The sequence below is a fragment of the Homo sapiens genome, chromosome 6, assembly GCF_000001405.40.
Source record: "Homo sapiens chromosome 6, GRCh38.p14 Primary Assembly".
In the NCBI taxonomy this organism is placed as follows: domain Eukaryota; kingdom Metazoa; phylum Chordata; class Mammalia; order Primates; family Hominidae; genus Homo; species Homo sapiens.
In genome coordinates this window covers 42,791,506-42,817,046 of record NC_000006.12, presented here as the reverse complement: position 1 = coordinate 42,817,046, position 25,541 = coordinate 42,791,506, and the positions used below count along the sequence as shown (strand labels likewise).

General features: G+C 42.6%; 1 protein-coding gene across 9 annotated transcripts in view; it reads right to left on the bottom strand.

The window, feature by feature from the left end:
• The window catches only part of BICRAL (BICRA like chromatin remodeling complex associated protein), a 122,218-nt gene that overhangs the window by 51,510 nt on the left and 45,167 nt on the right, over positions 1 to 25,541 (bottom strand). For 2 of the 9 annotated variants that reach the window (NM_001318819.2, NM_001393499.1), the window contains one exon: positions 6,646 to 6,741. The exons of 6 other annotated variants lie outside the window; for them this stretch is intronic. The gene's annotated coding sequence lies outside the window, so the exon portion shown is untranslated. Of the gene's footprint in view, positions 1 to 6,645; positions 6,742 to 25,344; positions 25,347 to 25,541 lie in introns of all 9 variants that reach the window. One more of the 9 variants, XM_024446390.2, reaches the window with a different exon arrangement.

Below are 25,541 nucleotides of genomic sequence, written 5' to 3'. Positions count from 1 at the left end.
GAGGAAGATACACAATTTTTTTTTTTTTTTTTTGAGATGGAGTCTCGCTCTGTCGCCCAGGCTGGAGTGCAGTGGTGCAATCTCGGCTCACTGCAAGCTCAGCCTCCCAGGTTCACACCATTCTCCTGCCTCAGCCTCCCGAGTAGCTGGGACTACAGGCGCCCACCACCACGCCCAGCTAATTTTTTGTATTTTTAGTAGAGACTGGGTTTCACCATGTTAGCCAGGATGGTCTTGATCTCCTGACCTCGTGATCCGCCCGCCTCGGCCTCCCAAAGTGCTGGGATTACAGGCGTGAGCCACCACGCCCGGCTGATACTCTTTATTTATATGTCCTTTTGTACATTTTGAAATTTGTGCCACATGCATGTAAGATCTAATCAAAAAAGAAAAACAATTAATAAAACAAGGAGAAGAAGGACACAAAATGAAGTACAAGAACCTCAAGTCAGTTTAGCTGGGTGTGGTGGTGCTTGCCTTTAGTCCCAGCTACTTGGTAGGCTGAGGTCGGAGGATGACTTGAGCCCAGGACATGAAGGTTGCAGTGAGCCGTGATCGTGCCACTGCACTCCAGCCCGGGCAAAAGTACCAAACCCTATCTCAAAAATAAAATAAAATTTAAAAAGAACCTCAAGTAAGGCTCGCTTTCCTTAAGTATACTAAATATACCAAATACTCAGAACTTTTTTTTTTTTTGAAGAGACAGGGTTTCATTATGTTGCCCAGCCTGGCCTTGAACTCTTGGGCCCAAGCGATCCTCCCCTTTCAGTCTTCTGAGTAGCTAGGATTACAGGTGTATGCTACAGTGCCCAGCTAAATACTTAGAACTTTTTTTTTTTTCATTTTTTTTTGGTAGAGACGAGGTCTCACTATGTTGCCCATGCTGGTCTCGAACTGCTGCACTTAAGTGATCCTCCACCTTGGTCTCCTAAAGTGCTGGGATTACAATTACCATGCCCAGCCCTTAGAATATTTTAAAGCAGCCTACTGGCCTGGAGAATAAGCCACATCAGCTGTCTTAAAAGAAATACTGTATCTTTTTTTTTTTTTTTTTTTTTTTTTGAGACAGAGTTTCTCTCTTGTTGCCCAGGCTAGAGAGCAATGGCGCAATCTTGGCTTACCACAACCTCCGCTTACCGGGTTCAAGTGACTGTCCTGCCTCAGCCTCCCGAGATAGGATTACAGGGCCACACCACCATGCCTGGCTAATTTCGTATTTTTAGTAGAGACAGGGTTTCTCCACGTTGGTCAGGCTAGTCTCGAACTCCTGACCTCAGGTGATCCGCCCACCTCAGGCTCCCAAAGTGCTGGGATTACAGTCAGGAGCCACCACGCCCGGCCAAGAAATACTGTATCTTAAAAACAGTCTGAATTTAATTAAGTTCACAGCAAAACTTCAAAGACCTCCAAGGCAGAGATATAACAGTGTATTAATTTTTTTTCCACACAGAGGGAGAAAATCTAAGCTCTCATGAAGAAACATAATTGGTTGCAAGAACAGATATTTCAGGAAACCCAGTTCAGCAAATCAGTTTTGCCTATTTAAGATATTCTGGGCTGGGCACGGTGGCTCACGCCTGTAATCCCAACAATTTGGGAGGCCGAGATGGGCGGATCACCTGAGGTCAGGAGTTTGAGACCAACCTGGCCAACATGGTGAAACCCTGTCTTTACTGAAAATACAAAAAATTTAGCTGTATGTGGTGGTGGATGCCTGTAATCCTATCTACTCGGGAGGCTTAGGCAGGAGAATTGCCTGATCCCAGGAGATGGGGGTTGCAGTGAGCCAAGATTGCCCCACTGCACTCTAGCCTGGGCAACAGAGCGAGACTCCATCTCAAAAAAAAAAAAAAAAAAAAAAGATATTCTGACCAGTAGCAATGGAAGAAAACCAAACTTCACCCTTAGGAGTCATAAAACAGCCTGGCCAACATGGTGAAACTCTGTCTCTGCTAAAAATACAAAAAAAATGAGCCAGGCGTGGTGGTGCGTGCCTGTAATCCCAGCTACTATGGGGGCTGAGGCATGAGAATCTCTTGAACCAGGAGGTGGAAGTTGCAATGAGCTGAGATTGCACCACTGCACTCCAGCCTGGGTGATAGAGTGAGACCCTGTCTCAAAAAAAAAGAAAAAAAAAAGTAATAGAACAGGATTTCAAAGACTGCGCAAACTGAAATTTGGTATGTGGCCACTATTACAAATGTTTTTGTTTCCTCCTTTATCTGCTTATCTGTTCTTTTGCTTCTTTCAAAAATAATAGCCTAGTGGCTGAGGCAGGCGGATCACCTGAGGTCAGGAGTTCGAGACCAGCCTGGCCAACATGGTGAAACCCTGTTCTACTAAAAATACAAGAATTAGCCGACCATGGTGGCGCATGCCTGTAATCCCAGCTACTTGGGAGGCTAAGGCAGGAAGGAGAATCGCTTGAACCTGGGAGGCAGAGGCTGCAGTGAGCCAAGATCGTGCCACTGAACTCCAACCTGGGTAACAGACCAAGACTTCATCTAAAAAAAAAAAAAAAAAAAAATATATATATATATATATATACACACACACACACACACACATGCATGTATATGTATGTATACGTATATATACATATACATACATGTATGTGTATATATATGTATGTATACATGTGTGTTGTGTATATATATAATTTATATATATACATATACATATGTGTATGTATATAGCCTAGTGAAGATGGCTTGAACTCAGGGGGTTGAGACTACAGTCAGCTGAGATCACGCCACTGCACTCCAGCCTGGGTGACAAAGTGAGACCGTGTCTCAAAAAAAAAAAAAAAAACCCACCAAGAGCCAATACGAGATACCTTACCAAAAACTACTGACATTTGCTTTACTTGTAGTAAGTTGCTATAACATGAGTCATAACTTCCTAATAATTTACAAACAAATTTACCTCTAAAAGGTGCTGAGGTTAGCAAATTATTGAGAGACTTTAAGCAGACATGAACTACGGAATAGTTGCAGTCTTCAAAATCACATTTTTACCCCCGGACCTATTGAAGGTAAAATGAACTGCAGTCACTTTATTTTTACTGACATATTTACTACTTCTAGTGTTCTTCATTCTCTTAAGTAAATCCAGATTTCCATCTGGTATCATTTTCCTTCTCCTGAAAGGAATCCTTTAATATTTTTTGTAGTGCAGGTCTTTGCTGATTAATTCTTTCAGTTTTGATATATCTTTAAAGAGTGTGAGATGGGCACGGTGGCTCACGCCTGTAATCCTAGCACTTTGGGAGGCTGAAGTGGGTGGATTGCTTGAATCCAGGAGTTTGAGACCCTCCTGCGCAACATGGAAAAACCCCACCTCTACAAAAAATAAAAAAATTAGCTGGGCATGGTGGTGCGCACCTGTAATCCCAGCTGCTCAGGAGGCTGAGGTGGGAGGACCACCTGAGCCTGGGGAGGTTGAGGCTGCAGTGAGCCGTGATTGTGTGACTGCATTCCAGCCTGGGAGACAGACAGAGATTCTATCCCCACCCCCACAAAAAGTGTTTATCTTGCCTTCGTTTTTGAAATATATTTTCACTGGGCATATTGTTCAAGATTGATGAGTTTTTTTCCTTTCAGTTCTTTAAAGATACTGATGTACTATTTCTCATTTGCATTATTTCCAAAGAAAAGTCTGCCATCATTCTTACCTTTCTTTTTTTCATAATGTGTCATTTTTTCCTCTGGACACTTTAAATATTTTTCTCTTTACCACTGGTTTTAAGCAATCTGATTATGAAAAGCCTTGGTGTAGTTCTCTTCATGCTTCCAGTGGTTAGGGTTCACTAAGCTTCTAGAATCTGCAGGTTTATAGTTTCCCTCCAATTTAGAAAAATTTCAGTCATTAATTTTTTCAAATATTTTATGCCCCTCCCTCTTCTTTGGGGACTACAATTACATCATTAGACTATTTGAAGTGTCCCACAGCTCAATGATGCTGTATTTTCTTTCAGTCTTTTATTTTTTTAATTTAATTTACTAATTTTCTTGAGACAGGGTTTTGCTCTGCTGCCCAAGCAGCAGTGCAGTGGCAGGATCACAGCGGATTGCAGCCTCGACCTCCTGGGCTCAGGTGATCCTCCCACCTCAGCCTCTTGAGTAGCTGGGACCACAGGCACTTGCCATCATGCCCAGCTAATTTCTGTATTTTCTGTAGAGACAGGGTTTTACTATGTTGTCCAGGAGGCTGGTCCTGAACTCCTGGGCTCAAGCGATCCTCTTGCCTTGGCCTCCTAAAGTGCTGGGATTACAGGTGTGAGCCACCATGCCTGGCCTTTTTTAGTATTTTAATCTCTCCGGCTTTCATTTAGGATAGCTTCTATTCATATATCTTCAGATTCATAAATCTTTTCTTCTGCAGTCTCTAATCTTCTGTTAATCCCATCCAGTGCGCTTTTATTTTAAAACACTGTAGTTTTCATCTCCAGAAGTTCAATTTGGGTCTTTTTAAAATACTCCATGTCATTATTATTTAAAATTTTTTTTTGCTTTGTTGTCTTGGCCCAAGATGAGATTCCATGCCATTATTTGTTTAATCTTTCCACTATTTTCTTGAACTTATATAAGATAGTAACAACTTAAACAAATTTTTTTTGAAGAGGCAGGGTCTCACTGTGTTGCCCAGGGTGGTCTTGAACCCCTGGTCTCAAGTGATCCTCCTGCCTCAGCCTCCCAAAGTAATGGGATTACAGGCATGAGCTCCATGGCTAGCTAATTTTTGTATTTTTTGTAGATACAGGGTTTCACCATGTTGCCCAGGCTGGTCTCATACTCCTGGCCTCAAGCAATCCGCCACCTCCGCCACACAAAGTGTTAGGATTACAGGCATAAGCCACCTCATCTGGCCAACAAAAAAAATGATTAATTCTATCATTTGTATAATTTCTGCATCTCTTTCTATTGATTGATTTTGTTGTTGTGGTTGGTCCCAAATTTGCGTGCCTGGTCATTTTTTTATTGGATGTCAGACATTGTTAATTTTACATTATCAGGTGTTGGATATTTTTGAGCTTTGTCTAGGACACAGTTAAGTTACTTTACAAAGTTTCTTTACAAAATGTCTGATCCTTTTAAGGATTGCTTTTAAGCTTTGTCAATCTTTAGGATTCATTTTGCCCTATAGTGAGGCAATAAATACCCTTCTGAGTACTTCATCTGATATCCCATGAATTACAAGGGTTTTTGCACTCTTGCAGATGGGAACACAAACTATTCTCTGCCCTATGTGAGCTCCAAGTAGTGTTTCTTCCCAGAACTTAGGAAGTTTTCTTAAACACATCAGTTATCAGCTGAAAACTTGAGAAAGACTCTGTAGATCTCCAGATAGTAGAGTGGAGTGCAGTGCTCTCTCTCTCTGGTACTCTGGGTACCCTGGGAACGTAGGCTTTTTTTTTTTTTTTTCTTTGAGATGGAGTCTCGCTCTGTCAGCAGGCTGGAGTGCAGTGGCGCAATCTCAGCTCACTGCAACCTCCGCCTCCCAGGTTCAAGTGATTCTCCTGCCTCAGCCTCCCGAGTAGCTGGGATTACAGGCGTGCGCCACCACGCCCAGCTAATTTTTGTATTTTTAGTAGGGACGGGGTTTCACCATGTTGGCTAGGATGGTCTCGATCTCTCGACCTCGTGATCTGCCCGCCTTGGCCTCCCAAAGTGCTGGGATTACAGGCGTGAGCCACCGTGCCCGGCCAAACTTAGGCCATTTTAACCTCTCAGAGACATCAGCTCAACTCAGGAAGATTATCAGCCTTCCTGTGGATTCCTCCTCCCCTGAGCTATGGTAAGGAAACACTCTTGACAGTAAGCTGGGTTGGTTACAGGGCTCATCTCATTTGTTTTGTCCTCTCAGGAGTCACTGTCCTGTGCTGCCTGATATCTAATATCTAAAATACCATTATTTCATATATTGTGTCTGATTTTCACCATTTCTACACAGGAAGTTAAATCCAGACCCGGTTACTCGATTTTGGCCCCATAGTCATTTATAAGGTCTTGAACCAAATCTCTTGAAGGGGTTATATGAGTTCATCGGCAGAGATTATAGGATCAGAGTATTCAGAAAGAGGGAGAATAGGAGAAAGGGAGAAGGAAGGAGGACAGATATTTAAATTGTTTATACAGTTTTCTCCTGTGCCTCCTTTTGTTTTCTACCCTTGAAAAACAGCTTAGGAAATTAGAAAGGCTCCTTCTTTAATTCCTGTCTCTAATAAAGCTATTCAATGGGCATAAAGAATATTCATTATTCATTTAACAAACACTAGTGCCAGGTACTATGCTAGGGGGTGGGAATATAAAATAGTATGACATAAATGTAATAACAAATTTAAAAATCCTTCACATTTTGTAGAACAGAAGAAGCAAGGCTGAAAAGTGAACTATTGTGTTTGAGCAAACAGTTTTCCAATGGGTGTCATCATCAAAAAGTTATGCCATGAATAGCCACTTATGCAGGGCAAATAACGATTCATGTCGATAAGGATGTAAAGTATTCTCATCTTATTCTTTTTACTATATTGTAATTGTTCTGTGCTGTTACATTTTGAAATTGCAAGACTTCACCTTCTGGCATGGTTCCCGTTTTGAAGGAACTCACTTTCTTTTGGAAGACAGACATGCAACAATTCATTACCATTGCAATGTGAGAAGTGCTACAATTTTTGGCAGGAGTTCCCAAGCTTCTTCAGGTGAAATCGCTGGGCTTTTTGTGAAATAATATGACGTTTTGCTAGAAGAAAACATGACAATATTTTCACAATTATATCCATTTGGGGAGAAAAGAAGCTGTCAAACTCAGCATGATTGGCTTTAAGTTTTTTAGTTATTATTCAACCAAGGATTTCTTCATTTATTTTGTCATCAGCTAGGGCCTCCTAAAAGCAAGGAGGAGTGGGTGGAAAAGAGTAAGGCAAATTATTACAAGAAAGACTTAGAAATTTAAAAATTTGGCCGGGCATAGTGGCTCACGCCTGTAATCCCACCACTTTGGGAGGCTGAGGTGGGTGGATCACCTAAGGTCAGGAGTTCGAGACAAGTCTGGCCAACATGGTGAAACCCCGTCTCTACTAAAAATACAGAACTCAACCAGGTGTGGTGGCACACGCCTATAATCTCAGCTACTCAGGAGGCTAAGGCAGGAGAATTGGTTGAACCTGGGAGGCAGAGGTTGCAGTGAGGTAGGATCATGCCACTGCACTCCAGCCTGGGTGACAGAGGGAGATTCCGTCTCAAAAAATAAAGAAAAATAAATAAATAAAAATTCCCAGCTGGGCACGGTGGCTTATAATTCCAGCACTTTGGGAGGCTGAGGCAGGTGGATCGGTTGAGCTCGGGAGTTGGAGACCAGCCTGGGCAACATGGCAAAACCCCATCTCTACAAAAAATACAAAAAATTAGCTGGGCATGGTGGCTTGGGCCTGTGGTCCCAGCTACTTGGGAGGCTGAGGCAGGAGAATTGCTTGAATCTGGGAGGTGAGGAGGCTTGAATCTGAATCGCTTGAACCTGGGAGGCAGAGGTTGCCGTGAGCCAAGATTGTGCCACTGCACTCTAGTCCGGGCAACAAGAGCGAAACTCTGTCTCAAAAAAAAAAAAAAAAAAAAAAATTCTCATAGTTGGAAAAGACGACAATTAACATAGGCAATAAACGACCCTCGTTCATCTCATGAAATGAAGAATTTGAAGGTCTTTAAACTGCTTTAATTCCTACTTGAGGTAGGAATGAGGTGGGGCAGAAATAAGCCTAACAGCAGCCATAAAAAAGAATGAGTTCATATCCTTTGCAGGGACATGGATGAAGCTGGAAACCATCATTCTCGGCAAACTAACACAGGAACAGAAAACCAAATACTGCATGTTCTCACTTATAAGTGGTAGTTGAACAATGAGAACAGGGAGGGGAACATCACACACCGGGGCCTGTTGGGGGGGGTGCCGGGGGCTAGGGGAGGCCAGAACTTAAAGTATTAAAAAAACAACAAAAAAAGAAATAAGCCTAACATACTAAGCAATCCAGCTGGCAAAAAAATGTGCTATAACATGGGGGAAAGAGTGACCAACCATGAAGGGGGCTGGGGAGAATTTCTGGCAAGGCTTTACAGAGGCTGGAGACACAGGGCAAGGACACTGAATTTGGAAGTCACAGGGCTTGTTTTGGATACTGACATTGACTAATCATGTGACGACAAAGAAGCTCCAACCTCTGGGTCCTGTTTCCCATTTCTTAATGAACTTAACAGACCACATCGGTGAGTGTTTAACTTTGGGACCCAGTATTCTTTAAGGTATCCAGGAGCTGTCTTGGAGGCCTAAAACAGCTGGTGGTGGAGGCACTCTTCACACTCCCATCTCTCCCCCACACACACCCTTCAGCTGAGTAGCTCAATTCTTACTCAACTGCAAGAAAAAAGTTTGAAAATCATTTCACTTAACCAGCTCCCAAACTCCCAGAAGTCCATGACTTGTCATCTATTATAAAGGAATGATCATCAACAATGGTGAATCTGGCAATGGAAACAGAAATCCGTGAAAATCAAGACATCCATGATTATTTTAGCAAGCAAGAGAATAGGTATACATATAGGGCCCACATTTCATTAAGATAAACAGCTGGGCACAGTGGCTCTTGCCTGTAATCCCAGCACTTTGGGAGGCTGAGGCAGGCGATCACCTGAGGTCGGGAGTTCGAGACCAGCCTGACCAACATGGAGAAACCCCATCTCTACTAAAAATACAAAGTTAGCCAGGCACAGTGGTGCATGCCCATAGTCCCAGCTACTCGGGAGGCTGAGGCAGGAGAATCGCTTAAACCTGGAAGGTGAAGGTTGCAGTGAGCCAAGATCGCACCATTGCACTCCAGCCTGGGCAACAAGAGCAAAACTCCGTATTAAAAAAAAAAAAAAAAGATATTATAGTACTACCCTCAAAAACAGGAATCTCATCATATTTGTCTTCATATCCCCAGCAAATAGCACATAAGTGGGTATAATAAATATTGAAAAAATACCCAGGTTTTAAATATAAGGCAGCTGTGTTTTGTATGGAGACTGTGCTCCCAAAGACCTTGCCTAATTAAAAGCTCATATAATTCCATAATCCTAGGTTAATCCTACAAATTTACAATTTCCCAGAGTCCATCAGCATTGAAATTCTGTAATTCCTGATGAATTATAAATATATCATTCTGTTAAATTTTTTCAGTTGTACAGGCGTGCACTATTTTTTTTTTTTTTCAGACGGAGTCTCGCTCTGTTGCCAGGCTAGAGTGCAGTGGTGTGATCTCGGCTCACTGCAACCTCCGCCTCCCAGGTTCAAGCGATTCTCCTGCCTCAGCCTACCGAGTAGCTGGGACTACAAGCACGCGCCACCACGCCCAGCTAATATTTGTATTTTTAGAGATGGGGGTTTCACCATGTTGGCCAGGATGGTCTCAATCACTTGACCTCAGGGATCACATTTTTTAAAAAAAGAATCTGTATCTTTTAGAAATCCATACTGAAATAGGTATGAATGAAAAAAAAATGACATCTGAGATTTGCTTCAAAATAATATGAAGGCCGGGTGTGGTAGCTCATGCCTGTAATCCCAACACTTTGGGAGGCTGAGACGGACGGATCACAAGGTCAGGAGATCGAGACCATCCTGGCTAACATGGTGAAACCCCATCTCTACTAAAAATACAAAAAATTATCTGGGCATGGTGGCGGGCGCCTGTAGTCGCAGCTACTCGGGAGGCTGAGGCAGGAGAATGGCATGAACCCGGAAGGCGGAGCTTGCAGTGAGCCTAGATCAAGCTACTGCACCCCAGCCTCGGTGACAGTGAGACTCTGTCTCAAAATAAATAACTAAATACATAAATAAATAATAATAATAATATGAACTGGAGTTGGTTATTAAAAACATGAATGGCTGGGCATGGTGGCTCACGCCTGTAAGCCCAGCACTTTGGGAGGCCGAGGCGGGTGGATCACTTGAGGTCAGGAGTTCAAGACCAGCCTGGCCAACATGGCAAAACCGTGTCTCTACTAAAAATACAAAAATTAGCCAGGACTGTTGACGGGTACCTGTAATCCCAGCTACTTGGGAGGCTGAGGCAGGAGAATTGCTTGAACCTAGGAGGCAGAGGTTGCAGTGAGCCAAGATCGTGCCATTGCACTCCAGCCTGGATGACAAGAGCAAAACTCTGTCTCAAAAAACAAACAAACAAACAAACATGAAATACCAGCTGAGCACAGTGGCTCATGCTTGTAATCCTAGCACTTTGGGAGGTCAAGGTGAGCAGATCGCTTGAGTTCAGGAGTTTGAGACCAGCCTGGGCAACATGGCAAAACCCTGTCTCTACTAAAAAAATATAAAAATTAGCTGGGCATGGTGGCACATGCCTGTAGTCCCAGCTACATGGGAGGCTAAGGCGGGAGGATCAATGGAGCCTGGGAGGTGGAGGTTGCAGTGAACCAAGATGGCGCCATTGCACTCCAGCCTGGCCAGAAGAGTAAGACCCCGTCTCAAAAAAAAAAAAAAAAATTAGCTGGGTGTGGTGGCACATGCCTGTGGTCCCAGCTACTGGGGAGGCTGAGGTGAGAGGATTGCTTGAGCCGGAAGGTCAAGGCTGCAGTGAGCTATCGCTGCACCACTGCCCTCGACAACAGAGTAAGACTCTGTTTCAAGAAAACAAAAACCATGGAGTCCTGTCCTCCCCTGCCCCAACCCTGGAGATTCTGATTCATCTGGAATCTGGGTTACTAGTTGCCCCTGGGAAAATTTCAGGCAAATTGGGGAACCTGTTCCAGGTCTGAGTGGAGTCAGGTGGGACCTGCAAACAAGGGCCTCTGGTTGACTCAGAAACACAAACTGAGGCTCCAACTCTCCAAACTTAAGGGGAGAATCCCGTTATCTTGGCAACCTGACTGAAGGAAAGATGCTGTGGGCAAAATCTTATTTGGGAATGCATCACCCTAAGCCACCTTCAGTATCAATCTTTTTTTACTCTTTCCCACCAAATAATTGCTCTACTTCTTCCTTCGTTTTTTTTTTTTGAGATGGAGTCTCACTCTGTCACCCAGACTGGAGTGCAGTGGCATGATCTCGACTCACTGCACACTCTGCCTCCTGGGTTCACGCCATTCTCCTGCCTCAGCCTCCCAAGTAGCTGGGACTACAGGTGCCCGCCAGCACACCTGGCTAATTTTTTCCTATTTTTAGTAGAGACGGGGTTTCATCGTGTTAGCCAGGACGGTCTCAATCTCCTGACCTTGTGATCCACCCGTCTCGGCCTTCCAAAGTGCTGGGATTACAGGTGTGAGCCACCGCACCTGGCCCGTTCCTTGTCCTCTTTAGCACACTGACTCATATTTACATTAGAAAGTCAGCTCCATCAGGGCAGAGGTTTGTGTCTGTTCACCAATGAACCTTAGCACCCAGAATAGCCCCTGGCACATAATAGGAACTCAGGAAATATTTTAAAAATGAACTTAGCACCCTTTCTAATGTGTTGGTCACAGGATGGCAAACCTGCAACAGAAGCAGGCACACAGGGAGAGTGTGTTTATTCACTTTTCCTTGAAAACCTCAGTTTTCCAAGAAAGCATATTTTTCTTACTTTGGAGACCAGGTTATTCCTATAGGATAACAATCTAAAGTGGAAAACAAAGACTTTTATTTAAGCTGACAACATACAATAGGGCTAAAGTTATTTTCCACTATTTCCCCTGCCCTCTATTCTAGCCCACTGCCACTCTCCTAGCCTCCAAACACAATGATGCACTTTCCCAGCATCTGTCTTTGTCCAGGTGACAAATTTCCTTACTTGAAATGCTCTTCTTCCTCTCCCATGTCTACTGAAAATACAACCATTATTCAAAAATTAATTTGGATCTGATCTCTGTGAATCCTTCTCTGACAACCTCAGCCTGTCTTCAGAATTCTCTGCCCAGAATTCTGAAAGCAGCAACTACATCTTTGGACACTGATCAGACACTGCTCTGTGCGATTATCTTCATTATGCTTATCTTATGTTCCCAATTAAAGCAGGGTGCAGGCTGGACATAGTGGCTCCCGCCTGTAATCCCAGCACTCTGGGAGGCCAAGGCAGGAGGATCGCTTGAAGACAGGAGTTCAAGACCAGACTAGGCTACATAGCGAGGCCCAATTTTTTTAAAAAAGCAGAGCCCAAATATAAATGAATACACACACCATAAAGTGCTATGAGAGTGCTGATGAGACAGCACTTAATTCTGCCATCCCGAAGGCAGGCAACTTTTAGATTGTATGGTTTTTTGGCATCAGAGAACTGAATATACTGGCTCATTACAATAGGCACTAGCTAGCCTCATTTGTGTCTCTACCCACCCCACTTGTCCCTGTAAGAAGCCCTTAGTTCTTTGCCACCTTGACCACTTGATGTCCCCAAAACTTATCAGTTTTTCAATTATTTGACTTTGCATGTTCCTTTTACTTAGAAGACATTCCCACCCACCTCCAAGCGGTCAACTGACAATGCCTACTTATCCTAAAGGTCTTGAGTAAAATGACACTGCCTTTCTTTAGTTTTATTTAAATCCCGAAGCAAAATTCATTATTCACTTATTCATATCCCTAGAGGACATCTGACATCTTACCAGCACCATGTATGACAATACAGCCATGCATCCCCATAACAACCTTTCATACACAGTGGACCACATATATGATTATGGTCCCTTAAGAGTATAATACTGGCCGGGCACAGTGGCTCACGCCTGTAATCCCAGAACTTTTGGGAGGCTGAGGTGGGCGGTTCACCTGAGGTCAGGAGTTTGAGACCAGCCTGACCAACATGGAGAAACCTTGTCTCTACTAAAAATACAAAATTAGCTGGGCATGGCGGCACATGCCTGTAATCCCAGCTACTCAGGAGGCTGAGGCAGGAGAATCGCTTGAACCCGGGAGGCAGAGTTTGCAGTGAGCAGAGATCATGCCATTGCACTCCAGCCTGGGCAACAAGAGCGAAACTCCGTCTCAAAAAAACAAACAAACAAACAAACACAACAACAATAACAAAAAACTATATTGTTAGTGTTTCTTTTCTGTGTGTGAATAGGTTTAGACACACAAATGCTTACCATTGTGTTATGGTTGCCTACAGTATTCAGTATAGTAACATGCTGCACAGCCTTGTGCCTGGGAACAATAGGCTATACCATATAGCTTGGGTCTGCAGTAGGCTAGATCATCTAGGTTTGTGTAAGTGTACTCTGATATTCACAAGATAATGAAATTGTCTAGCGACGCATTTCTCAGAACGTATCCTCCTTCTTAAGCAACATATGAGTATACTTGGTTTTTCTGACTTCCCCACTGGCTTACAAGTTCCATGAAAACTGGATGAGTTTCCTTTCATTTCTGTGTTAGCAGAGTTTAGTGCAATGCCTGATACATACATGCCTAATAACTGTTTACCCAATGCAATTACTTTCCTAAGATTCTGGTTTCCAAAGGACATTTTTAGGGTTAATGTCAGTTACTAATTTACTTTCCAAGAATATGCACCAAGGCTACATGTGAGCACTTTTTGACGATGGTACAGCACAGGATTTGGGATGCAGGCCTGGTCCTCCATGGTCCAGGATCCACTGACTAATGCTGGACCCTTATTATCCAGCCAGGCATCTATCAAGCCAGTGTAAAAAAAGTGAGGAATCAACTGATTCCCCACATCTGCTCCAAATCAGACAATTCACTTCTCTCAGGCGTAAGGAAATACAAGTTTTAAAGATCCACAGAATAAAAGATTGTGTGTCCTTCCAAGATAATCCACTTAATATTTAACAAACCTCCTTATAAAGGGATTTATGTGCTGAACATAAATATAAAATAATTAGTTGAAGTCTCCAAACATTTAGCACAGTAATTTATTATATTAATAATAGTTGTGGTTCATTAAAAGACTCGGAAGTAAATGTCTAAGTTGAAGAATTTCTGGCACAGCCAGGTATGGGTTTAAGGTCTAGTGAGTATACCAACACTAGACCTTAAAGAAAAGACAACTCTACAATATATTAAAAACCAGATGCCCTGACAAAAATGTTTTTATACTTCTTTACTGTGTTTTCTAAGAGAGTGTGAGGGCATTTTGATAACTATGGAAAACCATACACAGGAAATGATTGAGAAATGAGGAGCCGGGTGTGGTGGCTCACACCTGTAATCTCAGCACTTTGGGAGGCTGAGGACGGAGGACTGTTTATGTGCATGAGTTCAAGACCAGTCTGGGCAACATAGTGAGACCTCATCTCTATTAAAAACAAAAAAAAGGCCAGGCACGGTGGCTCCTGCCTGTAATCCCAGCACTCTGGAAGGCTGAGGTGGGCAGATCACCTGAGGTCAGAAGTTCAAGACCAGCCTGGCCATGGTGAAACCCTGTCTCTACTAAAAATACAAAAAATTAGCTGGGCATGCTGGTGTGTGCCTGTAATCCCAGCTACTCAGGAGGCTGAGGCAGGAGAATCGCTTGAACCCAGGAGGCGGAGGTTGCAGTGAGCCGAGATCGTGCCACTGCACTCCAGCCTGGGCAACAAGGGCGAAACTCCATCTCAAAACAACAACAACAACAACAACAACAACAACAACAAAAAAAAACACGAAAAGCTGAAAGAGCCAAAAGTAAGTCTTACTTATATATTCTCAATAAAGACAAACTATCTGAATATTAAATAGAAACTGCTCTGATACTTATCTGATTTCTAGTTTTATTCAGGAAAATATTTATGCATATGCATGTATTTTTTTTCTTTTTCTTTTTCTTTTTTTCCTGAGATAAGGTCTTGCTCTGTTGCCCAGGCTGGAGTACGATGGCATGAACATGGCTCAAAGTGATTCTCCTACCTCAGCCTCCCAAGTAGCTGAAAACAAAGGTGCATGCCACTGTACTAATTTTTAAAAAATTCATACAGAAGGGATTGCTCACCATGTTGCCCAGGCTGGTCTCAAACTCCTGGCCTCAAGGAATCCTCCTGCCTTGGCCTCCCAAAGTGCTGAGATTATAGGTATGAGTCACCATGCCCAGCATTATGATATATTTTATTAAACAAAATGGAGATTTATCTAAGTCATTTATGTTTTTCCTAATGCAAAGGGAATTTATTTTAGGGAACATTTTATTTTTATTTATTTTTTTTGAGATGGAGTCTCACTCTGTCACCCAGGCTGGAGTACAGTGGCGTGATCTCGGCTCACTGCAATCTTGGCCTCCTGGGTTCAAGCAGATTCTCCTGCCTCAGCCTCCTGAGTAGCTGGGATTATAGGTGTGCGCCACCACAGCTGGATAATTTTTGTATGTTTAGTAGAGACAGGGTTTTACCATGTTGGCCAGGCTGGTATCGAACTCCTGACCTCAAGTAATCCGCCTGCCTCTGCTTCCCAAAGTGCTGGGATTAAGGTATGAGCCACCACATCTGACCTATTTTAGAGAACATTTTAAATGAAATAAAAGCAATACTACTACCAATATGATTTTTTCCACTTTTACAGACTATGGACATTTTTGTACAATGCCAGTCATAAATAGTAAAAAAGATGGGACACTGCCGTTTGCATTCCTAGCCCACAGTCAAAACATTCACTAAAATACAGTATGGTAAAAATTGAGCTATTAAAGTCAAAACTGCTTAATAGTAGGACACCATTTCTTAGTGTCGTTTAAATATATTCTGGTCCCTATGTATGTAACTGCTTTAAAAAATTCAAAATGTCAGTAATTATAAACAAAATGTAGATTTCTCTCTCTCGCTCTCTTTTTTTTTTTTTTTTTTAAACAGAGTCTCGCTCTGCCAGCCAGGCTGGAGTGCAGTGGCTTGATCTCGGCTCACCACAGACTCTGCCTCCAGGTTCTAGCAATTCCCCTGTTTTAGCCTCCTGAGTAGCTGGGATTACAGGCACCTGCCACAACGCCTGGCTAATTTTGTATTTTTAGTAGAGACAGGGTTTCACCATGTTGGCCAGGCTGGTCTCAAACTCCTGACCTCAGGTGATCTGCCCACCTGGGCCTCCCAAAGTGCTGGGATTACAGGCATGAGTCACTGTGCCTGGCCGTATATTTCTTTTATTAAGCATCAGTATTAGCAATCTGATTAAAAGTTATTATGAAAACTCTTGACTCTTTGCTCTCTGTCAATGAGTAACATTCAAAATATTTTGGTTTTATAGCATGTTCCAAGAAAAATAAACCCTATGAAAATAACAATGTTAACAAACAAAATTCCATTTTACAAAGTCAATGTTACCAAGGAAGATACACTGAGGATTCCCTTTTATAAAGACAGACTCAAATAGAAAATGTGTGGACATAGCCGGATGTGCTGGTGGGTGCCTGTAGTCCCAGCTACTCAGGAGGCTGAGGCACAAGAATCTCTTGAACCCAGGAGGCGGAGGTTGCAGTGAGCTGAGATCACAGCACTGCACTCTAGCCTGGGCGATGAAGCGGGACCCTGTCTCAAAAAAAAAAGAAAAGAAAAAAGAAAAAAAAATGTGTGGACAAAATCAGTTTCTTAGCAAGGAGAAAACAAGAGTGCTTTTGTTTAAGCTTAAAAATGATTTAAGGCCGGGCGTGGTGGCTGAGCCCTGTAATCCCAGCACTTTGGGGGGCCGAAGTGGACGGATCACTTGAGGTCAGGAGTTGGAGACCAGCCTGGCCAACATGGCAAAACCCCATCTCTACTAAAAATTAAAAAAATCACTTTGGGAGGCCGAGGCAGATGGATCACAAGGTAAGGAGTTGGAGACCAGCCTGGCCAACATAGTGAAACCCTATCTCTACTAAAAATACAAAAATTAGCTGGGCATGGTGGCAGGCACCGGTAATCCCAGCTACTCGGAAGGATGAGGCAGGAGAATCACTTGAAGCTGGAAGACAGAGGTTGCAGTCAGCTGAGATTGTGCCATTGCATTCCAGCCTGGGTGACAGAGTGAGACTGCATTTTAAAAAAACAAAACAAAACAAAACAAAAACCCAAAAATTACCCGAATGTGGTAGTGCATGCCTGTAATTCCAGCTACTCGGGAAGCTGAGGCAGGAGAATTGCTCGAACCTGGGGGCGGAGGTTGCAGTCGGCCAAGATTGGGCCACTGCACTCCAGCTTGGGAGACAGAGCAAGATTCTGTCTCAAATAAATAAATAAATAAATAAATAAATATTTAAGAAAGAATATGGACAAATATATTTGTAGCATATTACTCCAAGCAAGGTTTCACAATGAGTTTCTACAAAGAGTTTAAAGATATTGATTTAATGTCATCTTTCTAAACTCTCTTTAAGAGACATAAACTTCTATCTACTGAAATCTTTAATAAATCCTAAGAAATGCCATGTGAACTGGAATTTGTATTGTAATTATTTGTATCAAGAGATCATGAGATACATAGTTTCAGTTGGAGAAGATGAACACTTCTGGAAAAGAATGGTGGTGATGGGCTGGGTGCAGTGGCTCACGCCTGTAATCCCAGCACTTTGGGAGGCTGAGGCTCATGGATCACAAGGTCAAGAGATCAAGACCATCCTGGCTAACACGGTGAAACCCCATCTCTACTAAAAATACAAAAAACTAGCCGGGCGTGGTGGCACGTGCCTGTAGTCCCAGCCAGGAGACTGAGGCAGGAGACTCCCTTGAACCCAGGAGGCTGAGGCTACAGTGAGCTGAGATCGCGCCACTGCACTCCAACCTGGGTGACAGAGCAAGACTCCATCTCAGAAAAAAAAAAAAAAAAAAGATTTAGTGGTGAATCTAATAACTACCCTCATTTGGAAGACAGTAATATTTCAAGATATCTGCTAGTATAATGTGATATAAAAATATTTCAGCCAGGTATGGTGGCTCCTGCCTGTAATCCCAGCACTTTGAGAGGCCAAGGCAGGAGGTTCATTTGAGCTCAGGAGTTCAAGTCCAGCCTGGGCAATATAGTGAGACCTTGTGTCTAATACATATTTCTACTGGGTAAAAAATTTCCAGGCACTGTTAATATAGTCAGCCCTCCATATTCATGGGTTCTGCACCCCCAGATTTAAATGACCACAGATTGAAAATATTTAGGAAAAGTAAAACAAAAAATGACAATATAACAATAAAAAATAATACAAATTTTAAAACAATATAGTCTAACAACTATTACATAGCATTTACATTGTATTAGATATTGTAAATATTCTAGAAATGACTGGCTACTCTGGGCATGCTGCCTATGGGGTAGCCACGCTCCGCAAGGAGCAGTAATAAAAAATAAAAATTAAAACAAATCTAGAGATGATTTAAAGTATATGGGAGGATCTGTGTAGGTTATATGCAAACACTACACAATTTTTTTTCTGATTTTATGTATTTATTTAGAGACAGTACCCAGGCTGGAATGTAGTGACTTGATCTCAACTCACTACAACCTCCCCCTCCTGGGTTTAAGCAATTCTCCTATCTCAGCCTCCCGAGTAGCTGGGACTACTGGTGCCTGCCACCACGCCTGGCTAATTTTGTACTTTTAGTAGAGACGGGGTTTCACCACGTTGGCCAGGCTGGTCTCAAACTCCTTGCCTCAAGTGATCTGCCTGCCTTGGGCTACCAAAGTACTGGGATTACAGGTATGAGCCACCATGCCCGGCCCACCTTTTTTTTTCTAATTAAAAAAATTTTTTTTCTTTTTCTAGTTTATGTGACTCTTTTTTAGATTTATTTTAATTTTAGATTCAGAGAGTACATGTGCATATTTGTTACATGGGTATATTGCATACTGGTGGGGATTGGGCTTTCAGTGTACCCATTACCCAAATAGTGAACACTGTACCCAATAGGTAATTTTCAACCCTCACTTCCCTCCCTCCCTACCCCCTTTTAAAGTCTCTAGTGTCTATTATTTCCATCTTTATGTCCATGCGTACCATTGTTTAGCTCCTACTTATTAGTGAGAACATGTGGTATTTGATTTTCTGTTTCTGAGTTAGTTCACTTAGGATAATGACCTCTGCCTCCATCCATGTTTCTGCGAAGGGCATGATATCATTCTTTTCCATATCTGGGTCCACCATTTTATTTATTTATTTTTGAGACATTGTCTCACTTTGTCACCAAGGCTGGAGTGCAGTGATGCAATAGTGGCTCACTGAAACCTCTGCCTCCCAGGCTCAAGTGATTCTCCTGCCTCAGCCTCTGGAGCAGCTGGGATTACAGGCATGTGCCACCATGCCCGGCTAATTTTTGCAATTTTTGTAGAGATGGGGTTTCACCATGTTGGCCAGGCTGGTCTCTCAAACTCCTGACCTCAGGTGATCCACCTGCTTTGGCGTCCCAAAGTACTGGGATTACAGGTATGAGTCACTGCACCAGGCCTATAACAATTTAATAATTTAAAAAAACAGTGATAGCTGAGACCCAAATGGGTTGGCATTATGTTAATGCTTTATATGCATGATCTCACTTAATCCTTTCAAACTCCCTCTGAAACGTAAGTCCTCTATCCAGAGGAAGAAACTGAGGCACACTCCCTCAGGGAAGTTACTCACTCAAGGCATTACCTACAGCAAGATGCTAGAACTCAGATCGGTCTGATTCCAAAGCTGTTATTGACTATAACTTTTTTTTTTCCTTTTTAAGTCAAATCACTCCTTGCTTGAAAACCTTTAGGATTTTAACGTATAAAAGAAAATTCAAATACTTTGGCCTTACATTTACTGCATTTCACAAACTGATCGCAAGGTCCCTTCCCAGCCTTCCACTTCTCACTTCATCCAAAGAAGTCTCCTTACTGTCCGCCTCTCTTATAAAATCCCAACCTAAATTGGTTCTTTTCCACCTAAGTTCCTCTTATAAGTTATACATAAGTTCTGCTTATGTATCTTTTCCTTATGTATCTTATACATAAGTTCTGCTTATGTATCTTTTCCTGGTCAACAAAATCTTCCTTTTCCTTTAGGCTCCAGTTCAAATTCCATTTCCTACATGTAACCCTTAACAGCTTTTTTTTTTTTTTTTTTTTTGAGACAGAGTTTCGCTCTTGTTGCCCAGGCTGGAGTGCAATGGCACGATTTCAGCTCACGCAACCTCTGCCTCCCGGGTTCAAGTGATTCTCCTGCCTCAGTCTTCCAAGTAGCTGGGATTACAGGCATGCGCCACCATACCTGGCTAATTTTGTGCTTTTAGTAGGGATGGGGTTCTCCATGTTGGTCAGGCTGGTCTCGAACTCCTGACCTCAGGTGATCCACCCGCCTTGGCCTCCCAAAGTGCTGGGATTACAGGTGTGAGCACTGCACCCGGCCGACAGCTCATTATCCTATACCCACATCGCATATGTCAGGAAATCCCACTGGCTATACCTTCAAAAAAACATCCAGAATCCAACATGTACCACCTCCACTACCATCTCTCTGGTCCAAGCCATCATCATCTCCCACTGGCTGTCTCTGCTTTTGCTCTTTTATAGTCTAGAATCTATTCTCAACCCAAATTCCAGAAGTGACCCTTTTAAAACAGAAATCAAAACTCTCCAATGAACCTTCATTTCCTCCCATGTAAAAACCAAAATTCTTTTATGTGCTCGACTGTGAACACCCGTAATGTTCTACACAACTGCTCTGCTCCCCAGCCTCTCTGATCCCTTTTGATTCTAGCCCTTGCTACCTTGCCACGCCCAGAACTCAAAATGCATGCTCATATCTTAGGCCCTTTGCACTGGCTGCTGTCTGCCTGGAATGCCCTTCCTCCAGATATCCTCAGGCTTAAGGCTTATTCAAGACTCTGCTCAAAGACAATCATGACCTACCAGACAATCTTCCCACACCCCAGCACTCCCCGTCTTCCTATCTTTCTATATGTTTACCCCATAACATACTACAAAGTCTACTTAGGTTTATTGTCTGTCTTTCCCAAGAGAACAGGGCTTTGGTCTTTTGCTCACTGCAGCATCCTGGGAGCCTAGAATGGCACCTGGCACACATTATGTGCTCAATAATATTTGCTGAATGGATAAATGAATAGATGCTCTCACACCACCTCAGTCAAAGGTTCTCTCTCCTTTGCTCTTGCTTGTACTAATCATTTGGCACTTACCATACACTGTTGTGTAGTTTTATGTGTGTACATATGATCCAACTGCCTAGATTATGTGTTCCTGTGCCCTCCAAATGCTTTACACCAATTTAGCATTTAATAAATATTTGATGATGAAATATCACTGCAGTGCCTTTTTATTTCAGAGTAGATAGTTATGGTAATAATTTTCAAAACAAGACATTCCGCTTAGAAAAGAAACATTCTAGAAAGCAATATGATGTAAGAAAAATATTAGAACATTTAATTTTAAAAGTTAATCTTAAAAGAATGGAACATATTTTAAAGGTGCATATACATTATACAAAATCCACATCATGCTCTGAAAATATTTATTCTGTGACTTTCACAGCCTCTTATGTCCTAAAGATATGCTTGAGAGTCAAGCTCAAGGTAATTTTTGATAGTAAGGTAATTTGAAACATAGAACATCTATTAAATAATAATTATATCTTGGGAATTTAGGTAATATATGACAGAAATAAAACAATGTGAAATAGGTTTTATGTCACATTTTATTTATAGATATTTATTTATTTATTTGAGACAGAGTCTTGCTCTCTGTTGCCCAGGCTGGAGTGCAGTGGCACGATCTCGGCACACTGCAACCTCCACCTCCCAGGTTCAAGCAATTCTTGTGCCTCAGCCTCCTGAGTAGCTGGGATTGCAGGCGTGCACCATTATGCCCAGCTAATTTTTATATTTTTAGTAGAGACGGGGTCTCGCCATGTTGGCCAGGCTGGTCTTGAACTCCTAACCCAGGTGATCCACCAGTCTTGGCCTCCCAAAGTGCTGGGATTACAGGTGTGAGCCACCGCACCCGACTTTTTGTCACGTTTTTAAATCTAATAGCAGAAAGTTTTGGAAAACAAGTTAGACAACTTTCTAACAATAGATGTAGATCTTTTCAGTTACCTTGACTGTCGTTCATGCGTAATTCTCTTTGTGAGTATTGGTGGAGAGATCAGTAAATAGACTCTTGCATGACTTATGGTAAGTTTCTTTTTTTTTTTTGAGATGGCGTTTTGCTCTTGTTGCCCAGGCTGGATTGCAATGGCGTGATCTTGGCTCACTGTAACCTCCGCCTCCCGGGTTCAAGCAATCCTCCTGTCTCAGCCTCCCGAATAGCTGCGATTACAGGTGCCCGCCACCACGCCCGGCTATTTTTTTTTTTTTTTTTTGTATTTTTAGTAGAGAGGGGGTTTCACCATGTTGGCCAGGCTGGTCTCGAACTCCTGGCCTCAAGTGATCCGCCCGCCTCAGCCTCGCAAACTGCTAGGAGTACAGGCGTGAGCCACTGTGCCCAGCCACTTACAGTAAGTTCTTAATTGATATGTCTAGCTTAGCCTTAAAACTTGACAATTCAAATGAAAAAAGAACAGAGAATAATATATTAGTACTTATAAAATATATAAAATAGAGCCAGGCATGGTGGAGTACACCTGTAGTCTCAACTACTTGGCAGGGGAAGCAGGAGGATTACTTGACTCCAGGAGTTCAAGGTCATGGGTACATAGCCAAACACACACACACACACACACACACACACACACACACACACACAGAGTAAGTGAATTTTGTCCGGCATTAAGTATTTTATGTAACAGAATATGTTCTGCATTTCTAAGTTAAAGCACTTGAGCCTTTTTTTTAAACAACATGGTTACCCAAATGTCATTTTTCTTTGTATTATTCTCTTTTGAAATTAACTGTCAGATTGCTTTATCTCTATCACACATGCTGTAAAAAAATAAATTCTAGGTACATCATGTGACATATAAAGTCAGATTTATAGTAGCTAGGAGCGGTGGCTCATGCCTGTAATCCGTGCTATCTGGGAGGCTGAGGCAGGAAGATGACTGTAGCTCAGGAGTTCAAGACCAGCTTGGGCAACACAGCGAGCCCCTGTCTCAAATTTTTTCTTTTAATCTGATTTATAAACAAGTAACATAGTTTTACATTTTAAAAATAAAAATAAAAATAAAAATAAAAATAAAAATAAAAATGTCATCTTGTCCAGGAGTTCGAGACAAGCCTGGACAACATGGGGAAACCCTGTCTCTACAAAAATACAAAAATTATCCAGGCATGATGGTGTGCACCTGTAGTCCCAGCTACTAGTGAAGCTTCAGTGAGCTGAGATGGGGCCACTGTACTCCAGCCCGGGCAACAGAGCAAGACCCTGTCTCAAAAAAAAAAAAAAAAAAAAAAAAGTCATCTTGAGGCCTACGCATAGAAGTAGCGCCAAAAACATCCCAGTTGTAAACCTTCATGTTGTGTGATTACACCTAGAGAAAAGGGGTTGACTTTCACAGATTTCTCCATCCTAAAACTCTCACAGATTTGGAGAATCACAATACAAATGGAAAATAAGAATAAACCAACCTGGTCAGGCGCGGTGGCTCACGCCTGTAATCCCAGCACTTTGGGAGGCCAAGGCTGGTGGATCACTTGAAGTTAGGAGTTGGAGACCAGACTAGCCAACTGGTGAAACCCCATCTCTACTAAAAATACAAAAATTAGCAGCCAGGCATGGTGGCTCACACCTGTAATCCCAGCACTTTGGGAGGCCGAGGCGGGTGGATCATGAGGTCAGGAGATTGAGACCATCCTGGCTAACACAGTGAAACCCCGTCTCTACTAAAAATACAAAAAAAAAAAAAAAAAAAAAAAAAAAAATTAGCTGGGTCTGTAATCCCAGCTACTCGGGAGGCTGAGGCAGGAGAATGGCATGGACCTGGGAGGCAGAGCTTGCAGTGAGCTGAGATCACGCCAATGCACTCCAGTCTGGGTAACAGAGCGAGACTCTGTCTCAAAAAAAAAAAAAAAAAAAAAAAAAAAAAAAAAAAAAAATTAGCTGGGCATGGTGGCATGCGCTTGTAAATCCTAGCTACTGGGGAGGCTGAGGCACAAGAATCACTTAAACCCGGGAGGTGGAGTTTGCAGTGAGCTGAGATTGTGCCACTGCACTCCAGCCTGGGCAACAGAGTGAGATTCCATCTCAAAAAATAAATAAAATAAACCAGCCAGCCAATTTCTTTCTCCTTTTTTTCTTTTTCTTTGTGACAGAGTTTCACTCTCGTCGCCCAGTCTGGAGTGCAGTGGCACGATTTTGGCTCACTGCAACCTCCGCCTCCCAGATTCAAACAATTCTTGTGCCTCAGCCTCCAGAATAGCTGGGATTACAGGTACCTGCCACCACACCTGGCTAATTTTTGTATTTTTAGTAGAGATGGGGTTTCTTCATGTTGGCCAGGCTGGTCTCAAATTCCTGACCTCAAGTGATTCACCTACTTCGGCCTCCCAAAGTGCGGGATTACAAGCATAAGCCACCACACTCAGCATCAATTTCTAAATATACTTATTTGCACTTCTAAAAAGTCTCAGGGTTAAATGAAATCTAGGCCAAGCGGAGTGGCTTACACCTGTAATCCCAACACTGTGGGAGGCTGAGGCAGGAGGACTGCTTGAGGCCAGGAGTTTGAGACCAGCTTGGGCAACATAGCAAGAACTCATCTCTACATTTAAAAAAAAAAAAAAATTAGCTGGGCATGGTGGTACATGCATGTAATCCCAGCTACTCAGTAGAGGCTGAGGTGAGAGGGCTGCTTGAACCCACGAGATGGAGGCTGCAGCTATGATCACGCCACTGGACTTCAACCCTGGGTGACCAAGATACTGTCTCAGAAAAAAACCAAAAATGTTCATAAGAAAAAAAGTTACAGTAAGCTAAGCTTATTATTGAGGAAGGAAAAATATTTTATAAGCTTAATGTAGCCTAAGTGTATGGTGTTTATTAAGTTCACAGTAGTGCACAGTGTCCTAGGCCTTCACATTCTTTCACCACTCACTGACTCACCCAGACCAACTTCCAGTCCTCCAAGCTTCATTCATGGTAACTGCCCTATACAGGTGCACCATTTTTTTCTTTTGTATCATATTTTTACTGTACCATGTTTAGATATGTTGATACACAAATACAGTTACAGTTACCTACAGTATCCAGGTACAGTCACATGCTGTACAGGTTTACAATACAGGAGGAATAGGCTATATCATATAGCCTAGGTGTGTGGTAGGTTATACCATATTGGTTTGCGTAAGAGCACTCTATGGTGTTTGTACACAATGAAATCACCTAACGATGCATTCATCAGAACCTATCCCTGTGATTAAATGACACATGACTGTATTTACTAAAAACCCATCAGAGGCCAGGTGCAGTGGTTCACACCTATAGTCCTAGCACTTTGGGAGGCCGAGGTGAGAAGACCGCTTGAGCCCAGGAGTTTGAGACACGCCTGTGCAACATAGTGAGTTCTCATCTCAAAAAACAAAAACAAAAACCAAACCCATTAGAACCCATCAGGGTCTCAAACAAGGTGAAGGTTTAACAAATATTATTTCTTTTCCCCCTCATTTTCTTCCCTGTGAAAATGTTTCCATTTCAGGCCAGGACACAAAGTTCAA